At 37.7% G+C, this 27,954-nt stretch overlaps 1 protein-coding gene across 8 annotated transcripts in view; it reads left to right on the forward strand.

Moving 5' to 3' along the window:
- TPP2 (tripeptidyl peptidase 2) overlaps positions 1–27,954 on the forward strand; it is an 82,973-nt gene that overhangs the window by 22,509 nt on the left and 32,510 nt on the right. For all 8 annotated transcript variants that reach the window (NR_160411.1, XM_005254070.3, NM_001330588.2 and 5 more), the window contains exons 6-21: positions 3,383–3,546; positions 7,518–7,672; positions 8,354–8,430; positions 9,988–10,115; positions 10,602–10,701; positions 14,456–14,604; positions 16,093–16,208; positions 16,730–16,898; positions 17,588–17,745; positions 18,745–18,821; positions 20,776–20,882; positions 23,728–23,882; positions 25,063–25,179; positions 25,415–25,515; positions 26,800–26,896; positions 27,713–27,850. Coding sequence is in view for 7 of the 8 variants with exons in the window: in XM_005254070.3 (XP_005254127.1) it covers positions 3,383–3,546; positions 7,518–7,672; positions 8,354–8,430; positions 9,988–10,115; positions 10,602–10,701; positions 14,456–14,604; positions 16,093–16,208; positions 16,730–16,898; positions 17,588–17,745; positions 18,745–18,821; positions 20,776–20,882; positions 23,728–23,882; positions 25,063–25,179; positions 25,415–25,515; positions 26,800–26,896; positions 27,713–27,850 (2,008 nt within the window). In the remaining variant the exon portion in view is untranslated. The remainder of the gene's footprint in view (positions 1–3,382; positions 3,547–7,517; positions 7,673–8,353; positions 8,431–9,987; positions 10,116–10,601; positions 10,702–14,455; positions 14,605–16,092; positions 16,209–16,729; positions 16,899–17,587; positions 17,746–18,744; positions 18,822–20,775; positions 20,883–23,727; positions 23,883–25,062; positions 25,180–25,414; positions 25,516–26,799; positions 26,897–27,712; positions 27,851–27,954) is intronic.

The raw sequence follows: 27,954 nt of genomic DNA on the forward strand, positions 1-27,954 counted from the left end.
TAGTCTGCGTCCCTGCTTATACACAAAGAATTGCATCACAAGGTGGGGCACACACAGATCATGCCATGACTGCTTCCTCACTGCTCTCACAATTGTTCACCTTCACAGTGCACCCTTCTTAAAGGAGGGTTCTCCTCCCACGTGTGCAGGTACTAACTCATCTTTCATCAAAGGTGTATGCAATGTTAAGTTGAATGAGAAATTTCTGCTCAATTTGGGGATGATGGTGTTAATAAAATAACTGCACATAACTCTTTCAATCTAGATATTAAATATTAATGCACTTTTGTGTGTATTCATACATGTTGTTTTGTTGTGTGCATATGCATACACGTTTTGAAAAATTATTTTCCAGAGGCTTTATACAGAATAATAAACCTTGATACATCCACCATCTGGGGTAACATGATACAGTCACACTCAGTGATAAGCCTTAGGTGCGTTTTAGTGTGGGAAAGGAGGCAAGGTTAAATTCAAGGAAAATGCTAAATACGAAACAGAGTATATTTAGGAAAGTATATACTACAAAAGAACTTAAAGAAATACTAAAATATTAGCAGGGATTGAGTAGTGAGGCAATAGGTGGTTTCATTTAAAGTGTTTGCTCTAGGTTCTGAAAACACTGCAGATTACTTTGTCTTAGGAAAAGGAATCCGGAGTCAGGATGTCCAGGGTACCAGTGTGTGTTTCCACAAGATTTCCTTGGTCTTCAAGGTGCTTGATAAAGTGACTCACTTGTAGCAGTTTGTTGACAACTATTCTAAGGGTTTTGTTTAGAACTTTTGAGTTAGAAATGAAATTTAATCTAACATTAAGTGAAATAAAATCTGAAATCTCAGAATAACATTTTAGAACATTTTATTATAATAAATGAATATAGCATAATTATACTTTCAGGTGGTACTAGATATAATGTAACTTTTTTGCATAATACAGTATATCCTATAGGGCTTTGATCTCAGAGATCCAAAATTTTTTGAAGAGAACCTTGTAGATCCCAGGGTACATAAGGTTAATCCAGTCCTGTCTGCAGATGTTCTCATTTCACATTTCAAAAATGCCAACCATTTCTGAAGGGAGGTAAAGTGACCTATTCTTTAAGTACCGTGGGTTTTTTGTTTTGTTTTGTTTGATGACGAATGTCCAGTCTGTGCTCTCCCTGCCACATTTCTGCTAATTGTTTAGCGCGTATCTCTGCACTTAACGGGTGGCCTCAGATGACTCTGTTCTGAGCATCTGTCAGGACGCAGAGCCTCAGACTCATTGTCACTCCAAATGGAACAAAAACTGGTTGAGAGAAACAGTGTTTACAGAGGATTACATAAAGGAGAAGCTATTAGTTGATTTCTTTACAGTGGATTTTGACCTTGCTTATGTCATGTTTCCTTTTAGATTCTTGATGAAAGCTCTAGATTCTTTCCACAGAAAATTGAGAGATGTGTGAAAATGTCGAGAAATACATAAAACAAAAGCCTTTTCTCTCATCCTCCCCACTTACATGTACCCTGCTCTGTGTATGAGCCTCATTTTGATATCCTTTCTCTGTATTCTAGCTGCTACTTGAATTCAGTCAACTAGACCTTCAGAAAGTTATAACCTTGCACCACATTCATACTTGTCCTCTGTCGTGTTATTTAGAGAAGTCAGTAATAATTTATGTTTTGATGTGTTGGTTGTATTGTTGAGTCATTCCAATGATGGTGGTTATAAGAAACTGACCTGTGGAATGTGTCACTGTATTTGCTGTGAGAATGTTGTTAAGGATGATGATTTCGTTAATTCCTTAATCATGTGGCAGATGTTTATTGAGTACCTTCTTTGTACCAGGTTGACACCATAGAAGCTACTCCATGGACTCTAGATTCCATGGAAGCAAGTGTTGGGAACGTCTGAACCAGTCTAGGAAGAATCGAGAAAGATTTCCCAAAAGTATTAATAACATCTTACATTGAGACTTGAAGGATCATCACAGTAAACTAAGCAGAGAGGTAGAAAGGGTGGGGGAAAGATCCAGAGGATGTTGGAGGAACTGTGAGAAGTTTGGTGTGGCCACAGAGGATATGATGGGAGCAGGAGGTGAGGGAGGTGAGCAGATGATTATTAGGGGCATTGCTCTGGAGTTTCAATGTTAAGAGCCGTTGGAAGACATGGAAGGTTTTCAGCAGGAGTCAAATGTAGGGGCAGAGCAGGCCATCAGCTCATCAGGCAACAGCGGTAAGGAAGAGACAGTGGAAATAGGCGGACACATTATGGAGATGGGACTGTGCGGTTAGATGGGCTGGGGGAAGAACAGAGGGAGGACTTTGTAGATGACTTCCAGGATGGATGCTGGCCGATTGCATAAATTTTGGAGACAAGTGCTACTTCTGTAGCATGTGGAAGATTTGGTGACATGCATTTTACCCACTAATCTCAAGCCTGATTCTGTTTAATATGTGACTTGTTTGCTCTTTGCTTCATTTTCTCCATAAGTGTTTAGTTTCCTATACCTTCGTATATTCTATTATTTGAAATTACATCAGTCATATTAGGGCAATGCATAAAAACAAATTTTTAAGAATCCTTTTTTCCAAAGTGTTGTAATTTGTTAATGAAATATGCTTCAGTATTTATGATAAATCATCTCTCTGTGCTCTACCAGTAGGCTTCTATTAATTTACTTGGCAATTTTGACTGACTTGCATAGCTTGTTAAAATACAGTTCTTGCATTTAAAACATACTTAGAGCTAAAAACATAATATTGAACTTTTAATGATGTTCATTTCATTTATGACTTTTTGAATATTAAGTGTATTTTGTTTTAATCAGGCTATCTTCTAAAGTGTTCGGAATATAATTTAAAAACTATTTTAGTTAGTAAAATGGAAAAAACATGAAGGAAGACAACCATAAAGTAATGTAGAAAATGCCTTCTGTGAGAAATAAATTTAAGTCTGTTATAACTATAGGACTGAAGCTCAGTAAAATTCACCTAGTTTCAAAGAGCTTGTGTAAGCCGTTAGATTCTTGAAGCCATTACTAAAAGAAGCAGCTGGAAGTTAGACCTAGGCCATGTGTCTGAACTATCCTAAACTGCTCTAAAACTCTAAGCCAAGTTTTAGCTGTAATTCTTAAGAGTCCAGGTGGTTTTTAACCTAGAGTTTTGTGAAGGAGGGTATTTTTAAAGCACTTTGTGCATGATTTAAGAACTGGTTGCTGTAAGCTATCTTACCTAATCCTTACTGCCCACTCTAAGAAACAGGCTAAACCAGGCAGTCATTATATTTATATTTGTTGTGGTAGAGGTAGTAGTATAGTAAAATAGTGGAGAGACTATGTTACATGATTTTTAGAAAGGTAAGAAAATAAATTTTACTGTCTCCATTTCTTTTTAATTAATAGAGCCTGCATTGATTCTAATGAAGATGGGGACTTGAGTAAATCTACCGTGTTGAGAAACTACAAAGAAGCCCAAGAATATGGCTCTTTTGGCACAGCTGAGATGTTGAATTACTCCGTTAATATATACGATGATGGAAACCTGCTCTCCATTGTGACCAGTGGAGGTATCCCATTTCAGATTGACCAATGAGATATAGATTTATGAGGTGATAAAGTGGTACGTTGCGATAGCTCACAGCAACCTTCTAGAGAATTTTAAGCTAGAGATCGTAGCTAAAGGACTAGGTCCAGAATCATAAAGGTGATTTGATTTACCTGCAAGATGTTGTTTTTTAAGGTCATAACCATGTGGGATCCAGTCCAAGAATATAAAAGCATGTTCCAACATCAGAAAATCCATCAATAGGCTGGGTGCAGTGGCTCATGCCTGTGATCCTAGCACCTTGGGAGGCCGAGGTGTGTGGATCACCTGAGGCTGGGAGTTTGAGACCAGCCTGACCAACATGGAGAAACCCCATCTCTACTAAAAATATAGAATTAGCTGTGCGTGGTGGCACATGCCTGTAATCCCAGCTACTCGGGAGGCTGAGGCAGGAGAATCGTTTGAACCTAGGAGGCGGAGGTTGCAGTGAGCCGAGATCGTGCCATTGCACTCCAGCCTGGGCAACAAGAGCGAAACTCCATCTCAAAAAAAATCCATCAATAGAATTTATCTCATGAACAGCAATTTTGCCTCGAAATCTTAACTCTTGAGAAATTCACCCATGAGTACAGAGAATCAGATAAAAGAATCCTCACTACGGCACTCTGTGTGATTTCAAAAAAGTTGGAAACTAAATACCTATTAACAAAAAAATATATTTTTTAAACAACTGTGTGTTATTCTTACTGTGAAATACAGTCATCCTTTGGTATCTGGGGGGATTGGTTCTGGAATGTCCCTCAGATGCTCAAGTACCTGATACAAAATGACATAGTGTTTGTGTATAACCTACACACATGCTCTCCCATGTGCTTTCAGCATCTCTACATGACTTCTAATACCTTATAGTATGTAAGTGCTATATAAATAGTTGTTATACTGTAGTTTTTTAATATTTATATTTTTGATCCGTGGTTGGTTAAATTGCATGTAGTTGGTGCGGAACCTGTGGATACAGAGGGCCGAATGTATTATATAGCAATCAAAATGCTGTGTGTATAAACCCCTAATACATAAATTATATTGAAAAAATATGTACTGATGATAAAACTTGTAAAATTCTAAAACATGCCGAATAGTACTATGCAGTGTTTATAGATATGTGTGTTTATATCGTGAAAATGTTAAATATATAGATGGAAAGATTATGCACACCAGCTCCAGGATGGTGGCTACTTCTGGGGGAAGTTCTCCCTCCCAGGGTAGGGGGAAAAAGGAGAATGAAGTGGGATGACTTTAACTCTTTAACGTCCCCCTCCTACCTCCCAGTTCATTGAGGTATAGCTTAAGTACAAAAACTTCACATACATACATATACATAATTTGATAAGCTTTTATGTAAATATATCAGTATATCCAGGAAACCACCACAATCAAGGTAATGAACATACTCATTACCCCCAAAAGTTTGCTCTCTCTATTATCCAGCCTTTCTCCACCCACATCCCGGGGAACCACTGATCTGTTTTCTGTCACTCCAGATTATTTCACACTTTCCAGAATTTTATGTAAGTGGAATAAAAAATATGGTTTTCTTTCCTTCACTCAGCATAATGATTTTGAGATTCATTAATGTTATGATTATAAAGCTGGCTCTTTATTTCTGAGTAATAGTTCTTTATATAGCTACACCACAGTTTGTTTATCCAGCTTCCCATTGATGGACGTTTAGATTGTTTTGGTATCTGTCGACATATATTTTTATTTATTTTTGGGCTGATAGCTGAGAGAACCAGTTGGATATGGTAAACATGTACTTAATTTTTTTTTTTCCTTTTTTTTTTTTTTTTTTTTTTTTGAGACAGAGTCTCGCTCTGTCGCCCAGGCTGGAGTACAGGTGGCACGGTCTCGGCTCACTGCAACCTCTGCCTCCCAGGTTCAAGTGATTCTCCTGCCTCAGCCTCCTGGGTAGCTGGGATTACAGGCGCGTACCACCACACCTGGCTAGTTTTTGTATTTTTAGTAGAGACAGGGTTTCACCATGTTGGTCAGGCTAGTATCAAATTCCTGACCTCGTGATCCACCCGCCTCGGCCTCCCAAAGTGCTGAGATTATAGGTGTGAGCCACCACGCCCGGCCACTTAACTTTTTTTTTTTTTTTTTTGAGACAGAGTCTCGCTCTGTCGCCCAGGCTGGAGTGCAGTGGCGCGATCTCGGCTCACTGCAAGCTCCGCCTCCCGGGTTCATGCCATTCTCTTGCCTCAGCCTCCCAAGTAGCTGGGACTGCAGGCGCCCACTACCATGCCCGGCTAATTTTTTGTATTTTTAGTAGAGACGGGGTTTCACCGTGTTAGCCAGGATGGTCTCGATCTCCTGACCTCGTGATCCGCCCGCCTCGGCTTCCCAAAGTGCTGGGATTACAGGTGTGAGCCACTGCGCCCGGCCTTTTTTAAGAAATATTCAAGCTGTTACCTAAAGGGGCTGTACCCTTTTCACTCCCACCATGGTGTGTGAGAATTCCAGGTGCTCTGTATCCTCAGCAACACTTGCTGTGGTCAGTCTTAATAGTGGTCATTCTAACTGGTGTAAGGTGTTTTGAAGGAAAAAATCACATTAAACTTGTGCTCTCCCAATTTTATCTGGGGAAAGAAATAAGAAAGCCAGAATCCGCAACATTGGGCGAATGTTTTCTTGCATGACAGCAGCTGGCTAGAGCAGAGGAGTCTCAGCATTGCTGCAGACCCTGTTTCAAAGCCACATAGAGATGCCTGCCTACTTCTCCTGGAGCTCCAACACACTATAGTCCCCAAACATTAAGGCCCAGTGCCAGTTGTCATTTATCATTGTGCTTGTATTATTGTTTTTCTGAGACTAGTGGGATATTTCTCTATATTCATGTCTTTTAAGAAACTTTTTCACTAAAAGGCTAGTTTTTTGTTTTAGTATTACTTTATATATAACATGTACAAAAACAGATACAAATCACAAGTTGTACAACTCTTTGAATTACCACAAAGTGGACACTTCTTTGTAACTACAACTCAGGTCAAGAAATGAAACATAATGAAACTCCCATCATGCCCCTTCCTAATCAGTAATGTACCCTCCCACCTCCTACAGTTAACTACTATCCTGATCTCCATTGCCACATTAGTTTGGACCATATGATGTTGCTGTTTTTGTGATCGGAAATGATAAAATAGTGGCAGTTTCAGATGGTTCAGCCTTTTTTTCATTTATATGAAAATTCAATATCCATTTTTGTATGTGACTTCTTTAGTTCAGCCTTATTTTTGTGAGCTTTATCTCATAGTACATAGTAGTAGTTTATTGCTGTATAATTGTCAGTTCTATGAATTGATGTACATGTAACCATTTACTGTTAATGAATCTTGTGGTGGTTTTTAAGTTTTTGAATTTTATAAACAGTGTTGCCATGAACATTTTTGTGGGTGTCTTAGTTACATGTGCACACATTTTGGTATTGTGTGTACCTAGAGGTAGGATGGCTGGCTCATAGGCTGTGGCAGTGTTCAGCTTTCACTCCAGCCAGCAGTGTATGATATGTACTTCCATCCACACTTGCTTTGTCAGCCTTTAATATTTTGGCAATTCTAAAAGGTACGTAGAAGCATCTTTTTGTGGCTTAATTTGCGTTTCCTAGATGACGAATGAAATTAAACATCTTTTCGTGTGTTTATTTGCCCTTTGGGTATCTTCTTTTATAAAATGCTTTTTCAAATGTTTGAAGGGGGGATTCTCCCTTTTTTTATTGTGAATTTGAAAGATTTTTATATATTCTGGATATAAAGCTCTTTGTCAGCTATACATGTTGCAAATACTTTCCTTTGTGACTTGAGTTTTTGCTCTCCATGAACAGGGTAGCAGAGTAATGTGTATTCTTTTTATCATGATTAATAATATGCAAATTGAATTGAATAAACTTTCAGTCCATGAGAATGTTTTGTCATTTCCCCACCTTTGTGTCTCTAGGAGCTCATGGGACACATGTAGCTAGTATAGCTGCTGGACACTTTCCAGAAGAACCTGAACGGAATGGGGTAGCTCCTGGTGCTCAAATTCTTTCCATCAAGATTGGTGATACAAGACTAAGCACAATGGAAACAGGCACAGGCCTCATAAGAGCTGTGAGTGTTTGTGAGTTGTTGATTCAGAAGATTAATGATTAATGATCTTGGATATTTTTAGGTTTATAAGTGCTCCTAGTTTACCAAGAATACATTGAACTATATATAGTGTACAGGACTTTTAACAAAGCAAAAATATTTACTAATTTATTTTTAAATTATTTTTATTAAATATTATTAGGATTTGGCCTAACCTTTGTGAAAAAATTACTTACTTCATACTCGTCATTTCTAGCAAATCTCCTAACAAGCAATTTTGAGATACTTAAAAAGAAAGACCTCTTAGCCAGCTTTCTCCATCAGCCTAAGAGGAATTTAAAACCTCAGCTAACATTCTGTACGTCATTTTAACGTAGGAAAGTATATTTAATTTTAGTGATTTTTTAACCTAGGAAGGACCATTCCATTCCCTCTACCTCTGTCCCCCTCTAACCCCACTCTTTTCTAGAAATGCTAGTTTTTTGTTTTTTTTTTTAATGACTACTTTTTTATGTGTCTCCTCCTACCTTTTTGTGTTTATGTGCTTATATGTCCAGGTATATGGTGATATGCCTGGAGGTAACTTATAAATTAGAATATGATTGGCTAAGAAACTATAGGATTATATATATGCCCTTATTTTACTGGCTAATCTGTTTCTGTAAATTGCTGCCTAAACTAGAGTCTTAATCTCTTTAATAGATGATAGAAGTTATAAATCATAAGTGTGATCTTGTCAACTACAGTTACGGAGAAGCAACTCACTGGCCAAATTCTGGGTGAGTGTTCCTTGACAGTTGTTTAGCCATAGAACCTTAGCCAGTGAAGAGTATGAGATGTTTTTCATAAGTGGATTGAGTGTCACGGTGGAAGAAAGAACAGTTGCAGTGGTTAGATGATAACTGTGTTCAAGAGGACTTTCATCCTCTTGAAGTCCTGTTTGGCTCGTAGGCCGCACACCCCCGTTCCTGTGTTCACATCTGTGACGATGTTAATGCTGTTCACTGCACCATGCCTGAAGTCTCAACTCTGAGCATGCCTGTGCTGTCCTTTGTGGCTCTTCCTTGGTTAGGTCTCCCTCACAGTTCTTCTGAGATATGCAACCCACAGACTCTGGTGTTTTTTCACTGTCAGATGCACTGCATCCTCACTTCTCTTCCCAGGCAATTTAGATCTGACAATCTGTCTATCATTATAATTACTAGTTCCACAAGCACTCTGAAGCCATCCTCAGTTGTATATACATACCCGACAGACGCCCAGACTTGCTGAAATTTTGCTATTCTCTTTAGTGACTTGCATCTCATCTGCAAAACTTACTGTTGGTTGCGTATGTTCACTAACTCGGTCAGTTTTCACATCTCCTCAATCCATTCTAGTGTGTCTAGGATGCACCCCCACTCCCCTCCTTCCTCGTTGGCTTCATTGTCTTTCTGCTGCCAAATCCAGTGTCATGGCCTTGACCTAATGTTACCTTCCTTTTTTTCTTCATAGTAGTAGCTATTTGAAATTACCTCGAGTATTTACTTGTTGATCATCTCTCCCCCATTCCCATCACCAAGCTATCATCTGGTTTTTGAGACATCACTTTACGGTCCTCGTAACATGCACCCTGTTATCATGAGTCATTTCATTCTTCCCTCTTCTCTCACTTCTTTATTTTACTTAACTGTATTTCTTTCTCTACTTTAACTTTCATCCTCTTGAAGCCCTCTTTTGCTAATATTCTTCCCTTTCTCAGATACTCACACTTACAACTTTGAAGGGTCCTGTGCATGGCTCTGTACCTTTTTAATGTTAACTTCATTTTCTTCTTCATGGTATAACCTCATCTCCTCTACTTAATGTCAGTATATTTTTCTTGTTTGCTGTCAAGCTCTAAGCAGGTTTCTTACACTTTAAAATCTTGCTCTTAAGTTCTTCCTAGTGCCTTAGTTACCTTTTCCACAAAAGTTACTGGTTCTTTTGGTCAATTTCTACTCATAATTGTATGTACGAATCTTCTGAGGTGTGTCTTCAGGACTATGTTAACTGGGGGATGGAAATAGAACCACCTATTGCCCGAGTCACTACTAATATTTTACTACCTTGTAGTATATTTTCCCATATATATTGTTTTGCACCTAGCACTTTCCCCACGTTTAATTTGGCCTTATAACTGCTTCCCTACCCTAAAGCCCAAGTAGGGTATATCACTTAGAATGGCTGTATCATGTTCCACCAAGGGTGGATGTACCAAAATTTATGTAGCCATATATTTAAACAAGGTTTTGGTACTATATACACTTTGGGAATAGAGGCTGATTATATGTTCAAAGGAATTCTCTCTTTTTCAGGAGAATTTGTGAAGTAATTAATGAAGCAGTATGGAAGCATAATATAATTTATGTTTCAAGTGCTGGAAATAATGGTCCATGCCTGTCTACAGTTGGTTGTCCAGGTGGAACTACATCAAGTGTGATAGGTTAGTTTCCTGTTTTAGAAATAGATTTGTTTAGAAACAAGCAAACAAAAAACAATAGTTAATGAAATGTTACCTGTATCTCTGCTACACGTAAGACACTGTACACCTTAAGTGTGTCCTCAGGAAACTTATAGTCTGGTAGGGGAACCAGCACATCTAGAACTGACCGTAATTTAAAGTGGACTGAAATAAGTGGTTTCATAGAAATACACATGCATGCTTTTAGGTGCATTAGCATATTTAGTCTAAAATATCCTGGGATAAATAATCCTGGGAGATAGGTATTTTGTATCCAAAAGCAAAGTTCTTAGTAAAATGTATGGTACATAGTAGACTTTCCTTGTTTCCTTATTAAATTTTATTCTTCCATCGTATTAGAGAGAGGACTGGTGTTGAGAGATTAGGCAGTTTACTCAAGTGAACAGTGGATTTGGAATCAGGATCCCCGTTTGTTTTCTTTTCTTAATGATTAAATCCATCCCACAGGTGTTGGTGCTTATGTTTCTCCTGATATGATGGTTGCTGAGTATTCACTGAGAGAGAAATTACCTGCAAATCAATATACTTGGTCTTCTAGAGGACCTAGGTAGGTGCAGGTAGAACGCGGAACCATTACGTATATTCGGTTAAACTTTACACTGTTGAGAAGGGCAGAGTTTTAGATAAGTTTGCTAGTTTTTTTCTGTTGGTTTTTACTTTTTTTTCAGTATTTTCATTTTGATTAACAGTCTCATCTCAGGGACAGATAAATAAAATAAATGAAATAGTTTCATTGTTACATGGAGAACATCACTATTCTGAGTATAAATTCTTATTCCTATATCCATAATTCTTCATTTATAAGAATCTAAAGAAAAAGTAGGGACTTGGATATCTTTATATAGTAGTGATGGCCTTGTTTTAAATAGTTTTTGATATTTGAACTTTGGTGAAATGAAAGCCCTAAGCTTTTATAAAGCATCACAGTCATAGGGCCCACGTACCTGTGGCTCATGTCTTTGAAGTTATAACTTACTTTGAGCAATTTTGGGTGAGATCCAAAAGTAAACAAGTTCTGACTGAGAAATGAAGTCTATCTCTTTTGGTTCCCTGAAGCCCTCTGAACTACATTTATCTGATTCTGTGAACTGATTTTCTGAAGAGGTATATTAAGTCCTAATTTATGTAATTCTTCGTTATATCATCAGCGGGTACATGCACCTTCTGAAAAATAAAGCCTATTTTAATTCATCTGTTTGGAGTTAATTTATAAAAAGAATAGACTTTGAATTTAGTTCAGCAAATACCTTAGTGCCTACAGTGGGCAAGGCATAAACGAACAGTTTGTGATCTGAGTTTCAAATGCCATTTTAGTATGATGGGACTCCAGAGGTGGGAGCAATCACTTGAGCCCTTCATGGAGAAGACGGTATTGAAGTTGACCTTAAAGGATGGATAGGATGTTGAGAGACAGAAGAAAGGAGTTCTATATGCCAAGAATAACATGAACCCAAAGATGAGCAGGTTTCAGTGTAAAGTTTTTTGAGGACATAACTAGTAACTGAGTATGTTTGAAGTATAAGATTAGTGGGGAATATTGGAAGATAAGATTAGAAAAATTGATTGTGCTCAGGTGAGATGCAATAATGTTATATTCTTTGAGTTACAGATATCTTCCTCATTTTCTCTAGGTGGTTTCCTCTTTAAAAAATAAACTTATCTTAGTAGCTTATTATAAAGTGTCATTGAAAACAACCAGGCCGTGGATATCCACATGGATCAGAAAGCTTTGCTTTGCGCTGTCATTGTAGACTGCCCCTGCCAGCCCAGCTAAAGACACTCAATAAGAGTGGCTTAGGAGAAGAGCCAAAAGTCAGCAAAGCTTGATGTGTTTTTGTTCAGTTAATAAAAGTGTAAAATTATTAAACTTATTCTCTTCTAAAACTGAGTTTGGAATTTTAAGTTTTATCTTATTGTCAATGTAAAAACAAAGTATTAGAGAATGTTTAAACCAGCCTTTGCCGATACTCGCCATAGAGCATTTAAAGAATTATTTTAAGAAAACACCAAGGAGTTCATGAATTATGGGGGAAGCTTGGATTAAAGTAGATACTGATTCACAAAGCAGATGTTCTAAGAATTGAATTTGTTTCATTTTTCATAAACATGAAATAATATTAGAAATAATTTGCTTTAATTATTACATTAGATGGTATAAAATATGAAACATTGATTAATGGTCACTGAACAGAGCATGTTCTGTAATCTTTGAAAAACGCTGCCTCTGCATCAGCATTGACTGAGACACACAGCAACTACTGACTTCCAGGCATTTGCACGTGTGGCATATTTCTTAAAGACGTATTACCAAATGTCTGGGCCGGGTGCAGTGGCTCACGCCTGTAATCCCACCACACCACTTTTGGAGGCCAAGGTAGGTGAATCACTTGAGGTCAGGAGTTCAAGACCAGCCTGGCCAACGTGGTGAAATCCCATCTCTACTAAAAATATAAAATTTAGCTGGGCATGGTGGTGGGTGCATGTAATCACAGCTACATAAACAGGTCGTGAAATTTTATTATATATTGTAATTGAGAAGAAAAATATTAACTGGCTTTTTTTGAATTTTAAGGAAACATTTCTGTTTCATGAGACTTTTTTTTTTTTCTTTCCTGAAACAGAGTCTTGCTCTGTCACCCAGGCTGGAGTGCAGTGGCATGATCTCGGCTCACTACAACCTCCACCTCTCAGGTTCAACCAATTCTGCCTCAGCCTCCCAAGTAGCTGGAATTACAGGCGCTCACCACCACACCGGGTTAATTTTTGTATTTTTAGTAGAGATGGGGTTTCACCATGTTGGCCAGGCTGGTCTTGAACTCCTGACCTCGTGATCTGCCCGCCTCGGCCTCCGAAAGTGCTGGAATTACAGGTGTGAGCCACTGAGCCCAGCTGAGACTCATTTTTAGAATACTGATTTAAACATCTAGAAATGCTTTATCATTTACCACTTTAACAAGCTAGTGGAAAATTAATAAAGAGCAATAAGTAGTCAGAATTCATGACTCTTTCCAGTTATTTTTTCCAATGCTATCAAATACCAATGCTCATTCTGAACACCATTAGGCAATACAGTGCAAACAAGAAGGTAGAAAATCACCCTAAACCTTGTTATCTGTGATATGTGCAGGTGACATATTGATGAACATCCTTTTAGTCATTCTTCCATGAATTAGTGGGAGATGACACTGTTCAGGCACTTTTGTAGCCTACTTGTTATTCAGTATTACATTGTGAGCATCTTTACAGGTCAACAGATATTTACCTAGTAGTAATTGTTCTAAGATGGTTCCTAAAAGAGGTGCTGTCAGCCCATTTCAAGAGGAATATATATGTATTGCTTTCAGTTCTCTATAAAAAATGTAAAGCCAAATTGCTCTAGTGTTTCTACCCAAGAGTAAAAATAGTTCACTCAGTTGGGAGATGGTATAAGGAGAGTCTGGCAGCCTCTGTGGGGAATGTATGGCCACTTAGCCAGGGAGGCGGAAGTGTGCTATTCTGTGCCATTCCTTCTTTACTTGGGGCAGAGGACAGAGCTTTGTTGGATGATAATGTGGTTATGAATTCTGAGGGTTTTAATTCATCAGACTTTGCTTGTTTGAAGCCCTCAGCTGGACAGTCCTGTTAGACTTCAGCTGTCCAGTATGGCAGCAGTCAGGGACGTGAGGTTAGTCTGCGTTAAGATGTGCTGTAAGTATAGAATGTACACCAAATTTCAAAGACTTGGTACAAAAAAAACAATGTAAACTAATTCATTTTTCTTTGTATCTATTAATTACATGTTGAAATGCTAATATTTTTGCTATGTCTAGTTAAACATACTAAAATTAATTGCATTAATGTCTTGTTAGCTTTTTTTAAGTGTGGCTTATAGAAAATGTTAATTTATATGGCCCACATTATATTTCTATTGTACAGTGCTATATTAGACCTTAAACAGAAGGAAAGTTTCTTATTACAGATAAGAGAGATGTACACTCATCAAAGAGTCAGAACAGTGACATTTATTTTCTCTCTCTAAATATACCTGACACTGTGGCCTGTCACACATGCCCAGATATGTATATACACACAGACATTTCTGTACACTTACAAGGAAAAAATAAATGCTGCCTATGGGAAAATGGCTCTGCTGGGTGTTTTCCCCCATTGATTCTTCATAGTAGTATCTGTGTCACTATTTGTAATGAGTGCAGTTAGTACATAGTGTTATACTATTGGATTTAACCAGTGGTCGTCTTAAAAATGCCCATGTATGTTTAGCTTTCACCATCCTAAGCAAACTTCAATGGCTTTCCATTTAGTGCTGACGGGGCCCTTGGTGTGAGTATCAGTGCGCCAGGAGGAGCCATTGCTTCTGTTCCTAACTGGACACTGAGAGGGACGCAGCTGATGAATGGAACATCTATGTCTTCCCCCAATGCATGTGGAGGCATTGCCCTGATCCTTTCAGGTAAGCGTGTTCTTTATTGTCCTTACATTATTGCAGACCAATATTTTTGTTTTCTGAAGCTCTCATGGTAAGAACATGTGGTAGAATTGATAATTCCCTGGGCACAAAGTAGAGTTTAAGGTAACGAATAACTTATGTGATAATGATAATTTGAATGTGTGTTTATTCAGCAGTATATTTGTTGGCTGTCCGCTGTTAACGACTGTCAAGCAGTATTTTAGCTCTGGGGCTAAATTAGTGAACAAAGCATCAAAAATAGCTGCCTATGTGGAGGTTACATCATTATATATATTATAGTTGGGATAAACAGACTCTGAACAAAATAAAAAACTGTAGATGTTGCATGTTAGAGGTTAATGGATGCCGTGAGCAAAATGAGGTAGAAAGAGAAGGAGGGATTTCTAGAGTGGTGCACAGGATTAAATAGAGTGGCACTGGGCTTAGCCAGGACTCAGATTTAGGGTAGCCAGGCTGCTGTGAAGCTCCCTCCTCAGAAACGTCCCTCTTTAAGTTGTCTCTCCTCTGCCTCCTTTCTTCCCCGCTTTTCTCACCCACACCACAGTTTCTTCTGCTCACCACATCTCCTCAGCATGGCCTGTCCACACTGGTGCTATCAGCATAAGCCTGTGATGATGTACCACTTCAAGTGCTACATCCTTCTCTAGGTTGAGCCCACACTCTTAGGATGGATCCTAACATGACCCTCTTTCTAGTTCTCTTCAGCCTCACCAGGTATTTCAAGGCCTCTTGGCCTCCATCTTTGGGTGTACTGCACTCTGCCTCGAAGTCCTGTCTGCCATGTTGTGGCCTTGCAGACTCCTGTACATTCTCTAAGAGGCGGCTTATCTGTCAGTTCCTCTGATGTCTGACAATATCATCAATGTTTATGTGTTTAATGAGCTCTGGAGAGGACAAGAATGATACAGCACTCATCTTATGAATTGGTGGCCTCCATATTCTTCCCATAAAACAGTAATTCCCAACCTGGCTGTACCCTAGAATCATCTGAGAGTTGTTTAATAAATAACAATCTCTGGGACAGTCCTCAGAGATTCTGATTTAATTGGTCTGTCATGAGACCTCAGCATCTTTTTTGCTTGAGTTCCCCTGGGGTTTATAACATACAGTTGGGTTGAACACCACAGCCAACAGCCATCTTGTTTAACCCAGCAGTGTTTGAAAGAAAATGTCATTCACATGCTTTTAGATATCTGCTTTGTACGTTTATATTACGCCACAAAGCCCACACCAGTCTCTCTGCCCACCACATAATGAGAACACAGTGATTTTTGTGGAATGAAGCCTTCATGTAATGCAAGCAGTTTGAGTCAGACTGTTTAGTTCAGGTCTTCAAAAAAGATTTTAAAATGAGTGTTAGAACACAAGACATTAACACCAGAGGGTCTACAGGTGATCGATCATACTGGTGGGCGGCTAAGGTTTCAGATAGTGAGTGCTACACTACTTGTTTTTGTTTCTTAATTTTAGGTCTGAAAGCTAATAACATTGACTACACAGTTCATTCAGTCAGAAGAGCTCTAGAAAACACTGCAGTGAAGGCTGACAATATAGAAGTATTTGCTCAAGGACATGGTATTATTCAGGTATTGTTGCCTATATGAAAAATGGGTTGTAAAGCATCATTGAGATAATATCTTAGATATTATTGGGTAATATTTTGTTTTATAACAGTGATTCAGTATATCTGAATTATGGATTATATGGCCATAGAACTACAAGCAAAAAGGATACACAAACAAATTTTGTAGTTAAGACAAATCTGTTGCACTAAGATCAAGAAATGTAATAGATGGAGGCCATGTAGAGGTTAGAAATTCAAAGAAATCGAGGTCAAAAACTGGCCAATCATAACGGCATAGGGATTAGTTCCTAAATTTGGTCACTTGAGAATAACAGTGTGAATAGAGTGGAGTGGAAGATGTGACTGGTGTTGTTTCTAAAAATGTAGAATTGTCCTCTTAGTTGGGGTACTAGGTAGTTTTGAGAGGTGAATATAGACACTAACTTTTTGTTTTACAACTGAAATCAAATTGATTGGTAATTTGCAACAAAATATTTTTTGACCCAACCATTTATATCTTACCATGTATATTATTTTCACTAGGTTGATAAAGCCTATGACTACCTCGTTCAGAATACATCATTTGCTAATAAATTAGGTTTTACTGTTACTGTTGGAAATAACCGTGGCATCTACCTCCGAGATCCTGTTCAGGTGGCTGCACCTTCAGATCATGGCGTTGGCATTGAACCTGTATTTCCGGAGAACACAGGTCAGTAATAGGCTGGCAGTAAGCTGACGTATTCACATTTGCTGTTTGAATGAGTGGTATCATAATAAAGAATTGCTGTTTGGGCCAGTGTTGTGAAGAGAATACATGAATTGACAGTATGATTATTTTAAATCTTAGTCATAAGAGAAAATATTAGAGCAATTTGGGGTCCTTGTACAATGGCAATTTAGTTAGCATCTTAAACTACCAGGGAAAACAGTAGAATGAGCCTCAGTGACCCACAGCTTTATTAAATTGTGGATAATAAAATATCAAATTTCTTTTCCACTTTACCTACTTAGGTATAAGACAGAGCTTTCTGTTGAAGAATGAAAAGTAGAAGCAGTCTAGGAGAACTGCAGCTCGATTAGGTGTGAACAAAAATAATCATCGCTATTATCTGGCTGTCTTCATTTCAGTTGAATACTATGACCTGTGTGCAGTAATGAAAACATTCACTTAAACTCTTTATTTTAAGGTCATACCAGTGCTTGGTGAAAGTATAAATGAATCATGAGTAATCTAAATTGTAAGGAAGATTATTTGACTGTTTTATTTAAGCTGTGTTTTGGATGCATTTTACAGCCAACCAAACCAAGTCGCTAAATTTTTTTGGAAAGATGTAACATTTTTAAATGGAAAAAAGGAAAAAAATACTCATCTTTAATTTTTGGTCTTTTTCGTGCCAGAAAACTCTGAAAAAATATCCCTTCAGCTTCATTTAGCTCTGACTTCAAATTCATCTTGGGTTCAGTGTCCCAGCCATTTGGAACTCATGAATCAATGTAGACACATAAACATACGTGTGGATCCCAGGGGCTTAAGAGAAGGATTGCATTATACAGAGGTATTGATGTATCTTCATTTTTACTTTCTTCACTCTTTAAAATGTTTAAAAGGTTAAAAAAAAATCCAAAGTATATTTGCAATATATTGCTTTCTTGCTAAGAAATAACTAGACCTATCCATCTGCCAGGTTATTCAGTTCTTCTGGTGTGTCTATATTCATTTAAGCAGTGAGTTTCTAAAGAATCATATTTTGTCCTTGTATGAATAAGTAAAAGGAAAGAAGAGGTACAGCAGAACCTTTCAATTAGATCTCCCTCTAACTGGTGTTTTCTTTTGTCAGCTAAACAAAGCTGCAGTTGCTTGTTGTTGTTGTTGTTGTTGTTTTAAGAGACAGAGTCTTGCTCTGTTGCCCAGGCTGGAGTACAGTGGTGTGATCGTGGTTCGCTGCAGCCTTGAACTCTTGGGCTCAAGTGATATTCACACCTTAGCCTCCTGAGTAGCTAGGACTAGTGGCGTGCACCACCAAGCCTGGCTAAATTTTTTTATTTTTGTAGAGACAGGATCTCTCTATGTTGCCCAGTCTTGTCTTGAACTCTTGGCCTCAAGTGATCCTCCTGCCTTGGCCTCCCAGGGCTTTGGGATTACAGGTGTGAACCACCACACCCAGCCAGTTATACCTTTTAGTACTCAGATGAAGAAAGCATCTGTTAAACAAATAGTTGTAAACCAGGCATAGAATAGTATCACAACAGTATCTCCACATCTAAAGTTGTCTGTAGTACTAGTTTGAGCTAATTTTTCAGTTGGGAGTAATTAAAATGCACTTATTTTGTACCTGACGTCTCATTTTCCCATTTCAACTGGTCAAATGTTGCTATACATTTGTTTGGGCTGTTTGCTATTAATTATGTGACCTAGTGTCAGGAAATTGGTGTCAACCTCTGGTTAAGACCTTGATTAAAAGTAGATTGATTTATTCTGTCAGTAGTTTAGACCTTCCCCCGCTCTTTTAAACATTTGTTTATGGATATTGACACTTACCGATTCTTTTTTCAAGGTATGTGGCTATGATATAGCATCCCCTAACGCAGGTCCGCTCTTCAGAGTTCCGATCACTGCAGTTATAGCAGCAAAGTAAGTAACAGGTTACTCACAGCTTACTGGTACATCTAAGATTTTAATGACTATTCATGGAGTCTTGTGGACTTTTAATGATCACTAATACAGAACCAGGTAATGGGGATTTTGTCTTAGTTCTGCTCCCAGCTAGCATTTTTAGGTGTCATGTAGTCAGCCATACTGACTCTTGTGTGCTCTGAGAGTAACTGATGGCACCTGGCATCTGCCCTACCTCTGCATCAAAACTATTTCCACCACAGTCACTCTGAGCTCTGCATTGCCCAGTTCAGAGGATAACTCAGGCTTCGTCTGACCCGATCCCACTGTAGTATTTGACAATATTACTTCACTCCCCTCCATTCCTGCCCTTTTTGTCTCTGTCGTTTTTGGGATTTACTCTCTTCTCTTAATGCTTCCACTTTTCTAGTTATCTACTGTAGAAGCAGAAGTTAAGAAACTCTTAACTTCCCATCTTATTCCTCTGGAACCAAGGAAAAATCAGCAGATTATATTACTTCCTGCTTAAAGTATATCAGTGGCACCTCCAAAGGTCAAGTTCAAGCTCCTTAAAATAGCAAACAATGCTCCCTCACAATTATAGCCCTAGCCAGTGTTTCCTGTCATTCCGTACACCAAATTACACATTTTGGCCAACTCACTGATTTTGGCACTTGAGGATTCTCAGGATTTGTGCATGTGCACAGCTGATAACTTGGTTTCAATTTCCTGTCTCTTCAGTTAATGACCAGGTGCATTCCTGGTCATCCCTGGGTGAAGGGAGTCCCTTCTTTCTGCTTCGTGGCACATTTTACGTGCCCCTGGACAGACTTTAGCCAATATATTGTAATTTTTTATTTAACTTACACTCTTTCACTGTGAGCCCACCGAAGGCACAGAGACTACTGTTATACAGGATGTATAAAATAAATTATCTAGTGGATGAAGGTGAGATTGGGATTGTGAGAGTACTGGAAACCAAGTGGAAATTCTAAACTAACAGTTCTGTTACTCTGGTAAATATTAAGTATGCAATAGATCTCAGCCCATGAGAAACACAGGATGAAATTGAGGAGAATAAATTTAAAAAGTGGTATACATGTGGAAAAATTGTGCAACAGTTAAATTCTCAGCCGTATATTCCCTCGAAGTCCAGTAGTAATTTAGACCAGGTAATGTGTAAGACCTTCAGGAGTCAGCTGCCACGCCATCTCCTTCAGGAAGCTTCCCAGGCTCCGTAACTCTTCTTGTCTATCTGGAGCATCTTATGTTAAATGTCTCTGATGATGATTCTCTCCATGCTAGATTGTCTAGGTTAAAGAATCATATTTTCTTCTTTGTTACGTTTCTAGCTCCTAATAACAGGGCCTCATGTAGTAGGCACTCATTTAACCGTTTGTCCTACTGACAAGAATTTGTCTCTAGCATAAAATTTGTTTCCGTGGTGGGTAGTTATGCATTTGAACTTTATTTCATTGATTTCTTACAAAAGTGCTTTGAAAGTAGTTTGCCTTTCTTTACTGTTTTACATCATGGGAGTGTTTTGAAGCTACAGGAGGAGCTTAATTTAACACAAGTCTCATAGCTATAATACCAGTGACATAAAACTTTATCATTGATTTTAATATCTAGGACTCACTGTAGTTTGGAATCTGGTAATTGGAAAATTCTGTGAATGTTGTAGAATGCCTTTAACAAAAAAGAGAATGCTTTTTTAATAGTGTGTGTGAATGTATCTTACAAATCATAAAATAGGCAAAAAGTAGAATCATCTATACTCTGCTATTCAGAGGTTATCTCTGCTAACCTACTGCAAAAATTGAACAATATCGTACCTACTGTTTTGTAACCAGCTTCTAAGTCCCTGTGTTTATTTCCAATGAATTGTTATTTTGCGTTTATCCAATGAAATCTAGAGTATCTGTGGTCTTATAATAAATATATACATTTAATTACTTTTATTAATTTTCAGAGTAAATGAATCATCACATTATGATCTAGCCTTTACAGATGTACACTTTAAACCTGGTCAAATTCGAAGGCATTTTATTGAGGTTCCTGAGGGTGCAACATGGGCTGGTAGGTAAAATTAAAATCTGTGTGACCGCTTATCTCTGTTTACGTTCTAATGACTATAGCTGTATGAGGTTCGTTTATCTGTAGCATGTATTTCCCTGGTACTAATATATGTATTTGGGTACCTTAGACTTTCTGTAAAGTTCAAAACGTTTTTAAGATCTAGTACAATTTTGCATTGGCCCATACAGGAAATTAAGCCATCTTAAGATGTTTTTAATATTTAAGGTTTGAGCTTAGTTTAGAATAATGCCTTACCTGGTAATAATTTTTTTTTTTTTTTTTTTTTTTTTTTTGAGACAGAGTCTCACTCTGTCGCCAGGCTGGAGTGCAGTGGCATGATCTCGGCTCACTGCAACCTCCACCTCCCCAGTTCAAACGATTCTCCTTCCTCAGCCTCCCGAGTAGCTTGGACTAGCAGGCGTGTGCTACCACGCCAGGCTATTTTTTGTATTTTTAGTAGACACGAGGTTTCACCATGTTGGCTAGGATGGTCTCGATCTCTTGACCTCGTGATACACTCGCCTCGTCCTCCCAAAGTGCTGGGATTACAGGCATGAGCAACTGTGCCCGGCCTAATTTTTAAAATACTACAAATCAGTTTAAACAATGCAGCTGTTGCTTAAACCTCAAACTGTTAAACTCTCAGAATTTTAGAAATAGAGCTTTAATCTTTGAAGCTCTGTTTATAGAAGATTTTCACTTCAGTGTCTCTGAAATTTTGAGAGTAAATGATTGCCTAACACAAAGCTCTTGAATTAACATGTTATAGTCCTGTGAGAGTGCTCATGTCATTCTTTTTTACAAGAGCTGTGGGTGTACCATATTTTCCTTCACAAGTTGTGTGTCCTAAATTTACAATTTAGCAGTCAGTATAGAAGGGTATGTCAGTTGTCAGAGCTCACTCCCATTGATAGAAGGAAGCAAATACGGGCAGTCAAGAAAGTGTCACCCAATTTAAATTAGTAGCCAGCATTGTTGATACTTCTTGGATTTGGCCCCTCTGCTAAGCACTTTACAGAGATTATCTTGTCTAGTCCCGTCAGAACCCTATAAGGTAGATAGGTGTCATTAGTAAAAATGGCTTGTATTTTACTTAGGAGTGTGTTTTTTGTACTTGTATGAAAGTACAGATATATTTACATCTGAGACTTTATTGAAAATGAAATATTGAAATCACACATGTATGACTTGGTTTGGGAATAACTGGTTGTATTTGGTTCCCCATACCATTTTCTGGTCATCTATCTGTATGCTGTCCATCTGTTTGTCACCTGGTATCACAGGAAATACCAGACTTTTCTTGTTTTTTGTAATTAGGTAAAGGCAAAATAATAGCAAAAGCTGAGAGCTAAAGCAGTGAATTGAACAGCACCCAATATAGCCTGTTAATTTGCACACTGGTTTATAATGGAGCTATTGCAGCAGTGAGAGGCTTCTGAGGATAATCGGGTTGTACTACACTCATTCATTAAGCATATTTTTCTGTACCATCTGTGCCAGGCCCTTTTCAGTGGGCTAAGGTGGTGAGCTACTTAGACAAGGACCCTGCTTCCAGAGGCCTTGAGAGCATCTAGTCCAAGATATTGCAGTTAAGAGAACTGGATTAGAGGGAGGCAGCACAGAGTAGCGGCAAGGCCACGGGCTTTGGAAATTGAGAAGTCTGGGTTTGGATCCACACTCTGCCATACGCTAATGGTTACCTGGGGGCAGGTTTCTAAATTTTCTGGACTTCTGTTTCAACTGTAAATATAGTCGTTAGTCTGTTGTAAGGATTAGGGATTTTATAGTACTTGGTACATAGCTTGTCTTCGTTGGGATTACGCTCACACTTGACAGTACTTCTAGAGGGTGGAGTCAGAGTTGCTGTGTTCAGCATTCCTGGGGTCCCATTCTCATAGGGCCCCTGGGACTTGTAGAGCTCCAGGCTCTGGTAAAATGTGCACTGGTAAATTAAAGAATACAAATCTATGGTTAATTAATACTGAATTGGGTACTTGTTTAGTGATAAATGGCACTGATTTATGATTGGTTTAGGTTGGTATTGAAAATAATTTGTTTTTTTAAATAAAAATTATCAAATGATCTAGAATGCAAGTAGTTAAGAGAATTTAACAGTCTTAGTTTTATTTCAAATAATTAGAAATATTGTCATAACACTAGATTTTGTATTCTTAGCAACTGACTAGGTTCTGAGAGCTCTCTGCACACCTGGTTTTATGAGCCACGGCATTGCGCCTTGCTTCAGTTCCCTTGAATTAGCTTGGGTGTTCTTTAGAAAAGCTGCCAATCTGGCATTGCGGTGATCTTGGCTTACCTCCAGCGCTGGCTCAGAGTAAAGTTAAGCATAAGTAGTCGTGCCAGGCTTTGTAGACGCACACAGTACACAAGTAGACCAAGAAGAGAGATTAGGAAAAGTTATCAATGAGGAATTGAGGCATGATAACAAATAGAGGTTTCCAAAAATATAACCTTCCTTACTTTATCTGGAATTGACTGGTTTTCAGCTAAAACAAGGAGGGATTTTAAAAGGTACCCGATTAATGTAATTGTGTATGCATCTATGGACAGCTTGCTGTTTCCAGGTGTTTGCAGCCTCATGGTGGTGGTTCATTTTAATACCAGTTTCTTTCGTTCCCATAGAAAATCTTCTAGTCTTCTACCTTTATTAATATTTTGTTGATTCTTTGTTTTTATGGAAATATGCAGATTTGAGTGTACATTTTATTTTTGATCCCTATTATGTCCCTACATGGGAATTATCCCTAAGTGGGCATTATTAAAGCCACTTTATGTCAATTTTAGGTCTTATAAGTTTAAAGCTTTGCTTCTTTCTTTCTTATTTTAGAAGTGACAGTGTGTTCGTGTTCTTCTGAGGTGTCAGCAAAGTTTGTTCTACATGCAGTCCAGCTTGTGAAGCAAAGAGCATATCGAAGCCATGAATTCTATAAGTTTTGTTCTCTTCCAGAGAAAGGAACACTGACTGAAGCTTTTCCTGTCCTAGTAAGTTTAATTATAGTTTATAATCCTAACACAATTTATTTGCCTTTTTGGTATGGGCTAAGACTAAGTATTTGCATTTGATTTTATAGTTTGTATTTAGCATGTTGGGATTATATATTTTTTTAATGCCAAAAAAATGAAGTAGAAAAATAGAAAATCTAATCAGGGTACTTGAAATCAAGTTGGAGGTAATTATGGCTGTAATTCTTGAATAGCATAGTCAAAGAAACATACTAGTCTGGTAGATTCTCGTGCCTTGTAGTTAGGACCCTGATTTAGATTATTCTTTGTTGTACTATAGATTAATTTCTTTAAGACCTGTTTGCTTGTCACTTAACTTATTTTACTAATGCTGTGTTGTTAAGCTATGAGGCTAATTTGCATTATAGGAAAACTGCTACTGCTTCATGTCTAAGTTATCTCAGATGATGGCAGACTGCATTCTTATCTGTGGTGTTGGAAATGATGACTAGTCTTTCTTCCATAGAAGGTGAAAGTACTGATGTTCTTCCTTCAATGCGCTCCTTTGTGTTTTCAGTTGGTTCTGGGATTTTCCCAGTATCTCTTGGTTTCTGGTTACTTTCATTTGTGTTCTTCCATGGATCAGTGTTGCTTCATCTTTTTAAACTTTTAAATCACTGATTACTAGAAAACTTACTTTAAAACTCAGTGCTAAGAGCAGGTGTTTTTTTTTCCTTTTCCTTATCTTTATTTTTTAATAGGGAGAAAGATGTAAATGACCATAATGTCATTTTGTTTTGGTTGCCAGGTAGCTGTGAGCCCAAACTCAATTGTGCCTATTGAGTATGCCTTACAAAGTTGAAGTATCTTTATTGTGTCGTTATACTTGATTATTTTTCTTTTGGTCCTAATTTTTTATTTCACTTCGAAATAATAAAATCACATTTGCTTTATTATATGTGCTTTCAGAAGCTGCCTAGGATCTTTTATGACAAGAAGCATAGGGTTATGAGTAAATAACTATGTATATTTAAATACACCATATCTCTGCAAATGATTTGTCTAACTCTTACTTAGCATAGCTGTTAAAATTTTTGAGTTTTCTTGCTACAAACAGGAAAAGTTTGAAAACAGAATTGCTCTGAAACAGCTAGTATTTATATTCTGTAATTTGAGAAAAATAAGAAAAGAGATATATTTTATTTACTTTTATTTGCAGGGTGGAAAAGCAATTGAATTTTGCATTGCTCGTTGGTGGGCAAGTCTCAGTGATGTCAACATTGATTATACCATTTCTTTCCATGGGATAGTGTGTACTGCTCCTCAGTTAAACATTGTAAGTTCCACAACATTTTCATGATTTTTAATGTCAGTTACTTGTGTTACTGGAGAGTAACTTCATTGGTTAGATTTAAACTTTAATGAGGGGAAATTACCTGTGGTTCTGAAGATAGCAGTAGGCTTTGTGTGTGGGTACTTATAAACTTTATATTGGACACATTTATTTTAGGTACAAAATATTGCTTATTTTTAGTAAAGTTTGAGAAAGTAATTTGAGAAATCCTTTGTAGCATGCATCGGAAGGAATCAACCGCTTTGATGTTCAGTCCTCCTTGAAATACGAAGATCTGGCTCCCTGCATAACTTTGAAGAACTGGGTCCAAACACTGCGGTATCATTCAATGTTTTAGGAACTACAGATATTGAATATAGATTGGGGGGATCTCTTACACTCTTAAAAAAGGGCCTTTTTTTTTTTTAATCCACCTGCATGCTAGAGGTGAGAATTTTATCCTTGCCAGCAGATCTCTGCAAGGCAGCCCCAGTATCAGCTTCTAGCTTCACTGTCCCACCTGACCAGCAAAGTCAAGGATGGTGGATAGCCGATCCCAGTCATGACTAGTTAGGATCAGTGGACATTAACCTTTTTATTTCTTGCTGTAAAATAGCAAGTTAACATTCTCTCTGATATTATTTTGTGAATCCTAATGCAGTCATTTTTAGAAACTGCAATACCATTAGAAACTGTTTATTAAATGGTAGAAACTTAAGTACTGTAGCCTGCTGTTTGTGCCTCAGCAGCTCCCCTTACAAAAGCAGGGCACCTTGACCTGTGTTCACATACTCACTGTGTTATAAAGATACCTGGTTTCTTTTGTTTAATCTGACCTTAACTCATCGGCATGAAGCCTAGTCTTAAGTGTATTAAAATAACCAATTAGGGACAATAGTCAGTGACACGGTGATGTCTAAAGATATACTGCTTCCTAGAATTATCAATAAAAATTAAAACATCCAGCTTTTGAAGATATATCCAACTTATATCATCCTGATGTTTTCTTCCTAAATCTAAAAAATTGGAGCTAAATTTAGAGTAGATTATGTTTCACTGACATTTTAAACTATATTTAAAACTTACTCTTCAGTGTCAGTTTTCTCCTTTATAAAATCTGTACATTAGCAACTTCCTTCAGAGGACTACTAAAAATATGAAATAACATTCCCTCGGCCAGGAGGAGGGCTGAGTGTGGCCCCTGCCATCTGGTGAGCAGCAGGGGTCTGGGGAGGTCTGTGCTGCACACAACACAGTACTGTCAACAGTTTGCACAAGGGGTACAAATCAGAACCTGTCTTGCAACACTTTTAGTTGTCACCCTAGTGTTAGGATTTGGTTGTATTGAGAGCTGTTTGTTCACATTTGAAAATGTTTTTGCCATGAAAAGATTGCCTTTGTCATATTTATTGCAAAATCTAAACTGTATGTATTGATATGATTCAATCAAATAATTATGTAAGTTAGTGATTAAAATATTGTAGAGTATACTGAAAAGGATAGCTCTCAGGAAGGTTCATCTGCACTTTTTGCAATATGTTACAGATTTTGTTGCATATGGTTTTATTTGTCTCATTCAATGAACTCTTGAATCAAACCAGTTATGTAGTTTCCTCATTACAGCCCAGTGAGTGCAAAAACAAAACCTTTAGGATCAAGAGATGTTTTGCCAAATAACCGTCAACTTTATGAGATGGTCCTGACATATAACTTTCATCAAGTAAGTGTTTGCCTAGTAAAGTGTACCCTTAGGATGAACTTTTGTGTTTTATTTATGATTCATAGAATCAAAAATGGAAGGACAGTGTATATGGTATATATAAAAAACAGAATCAAGTGATTAACAGTTAATTTGGAATTACTCTTTAGGAAATTATAATTTGTAATTAAATACCATTCAGTTGTAAAGTCACAAAATGTAATTGAGTGGTGACCTAGCCTTAAGCCTTAGTTTATAAAATCACTGATCACTGTCCATTGGTGCCATCTGACCCAGGGGTGATTAGATGGCTCAGAAATACCATCTGCCTTCTGGTGATGGTGCTGGGCCTGATTGCTTTCTGCGAAGAAGGCACTGGAACAGGGAAAGGTCAGAGTAGCTCCCAGGTGGGATGGGTGGCAAAAGTAATGGAGGCCAGTGTAAATGCTGGACCAAAGAATTGTTGTAAGATCAATGAGATTTCAATAAAACTGTTACTGAAACACACATCAGTTTGGTTATAATGTTAGGGAAATGGATTGGTTTCAGTGAATTTTCACATTTCAGTTTTATAAAGTAATTAGAGGTCCTGAAGTATGTATATGTTGCTTTATTAATGAATACACATAGCCAGGTGTGTATTTTTAAAAGTTTGTAAGAGAGCAGTGACTTTTATAAGTGCTAAAATACTGTGTGTTCTATATTTTCAAAATTTTTTACCACAAGTATTTTTAATGTTTTTTAAATGAAAAAGTCTCATGTCAATAACAATATTAAAAATTTGTATCAGAAATTATATGCAAATCATGCCAAGTAATCTTTTTTGTTTTTTAATAGCCCAAGAGTGGGGAAGTAACTCCAAGCTGCCCACTACTTTGTGAACTATTATATGAATCTGAATTTGACAGCCAACTGTGGATTATTTTTGACCAGAACAAAAGACAGATGGGTTCAGGCGATGCCTATCCACATCAGGTATAAAATTGATGGTGATTTTTAGAATTAACGGAAGCTGTTTCCTGAACTAACAAAATCCTGGTTTCTTGTTATGGTAATGTTCATACTTTAAAAAAAACAAA

The sequence above is a fragment of the Homo sapiens genome, chromosome 13 (assembly GCF_000001405.40).
Source record: "Homo sapiens chromosome 13, GRCh38.p14 Primary Assembly".
In the NCBI taxonomy this organism is placed as follows: Eukaryota; Metazoa; Chordata; class Mammalia; order Primates; family Hominidae; genus Homo; species Homo sapiens.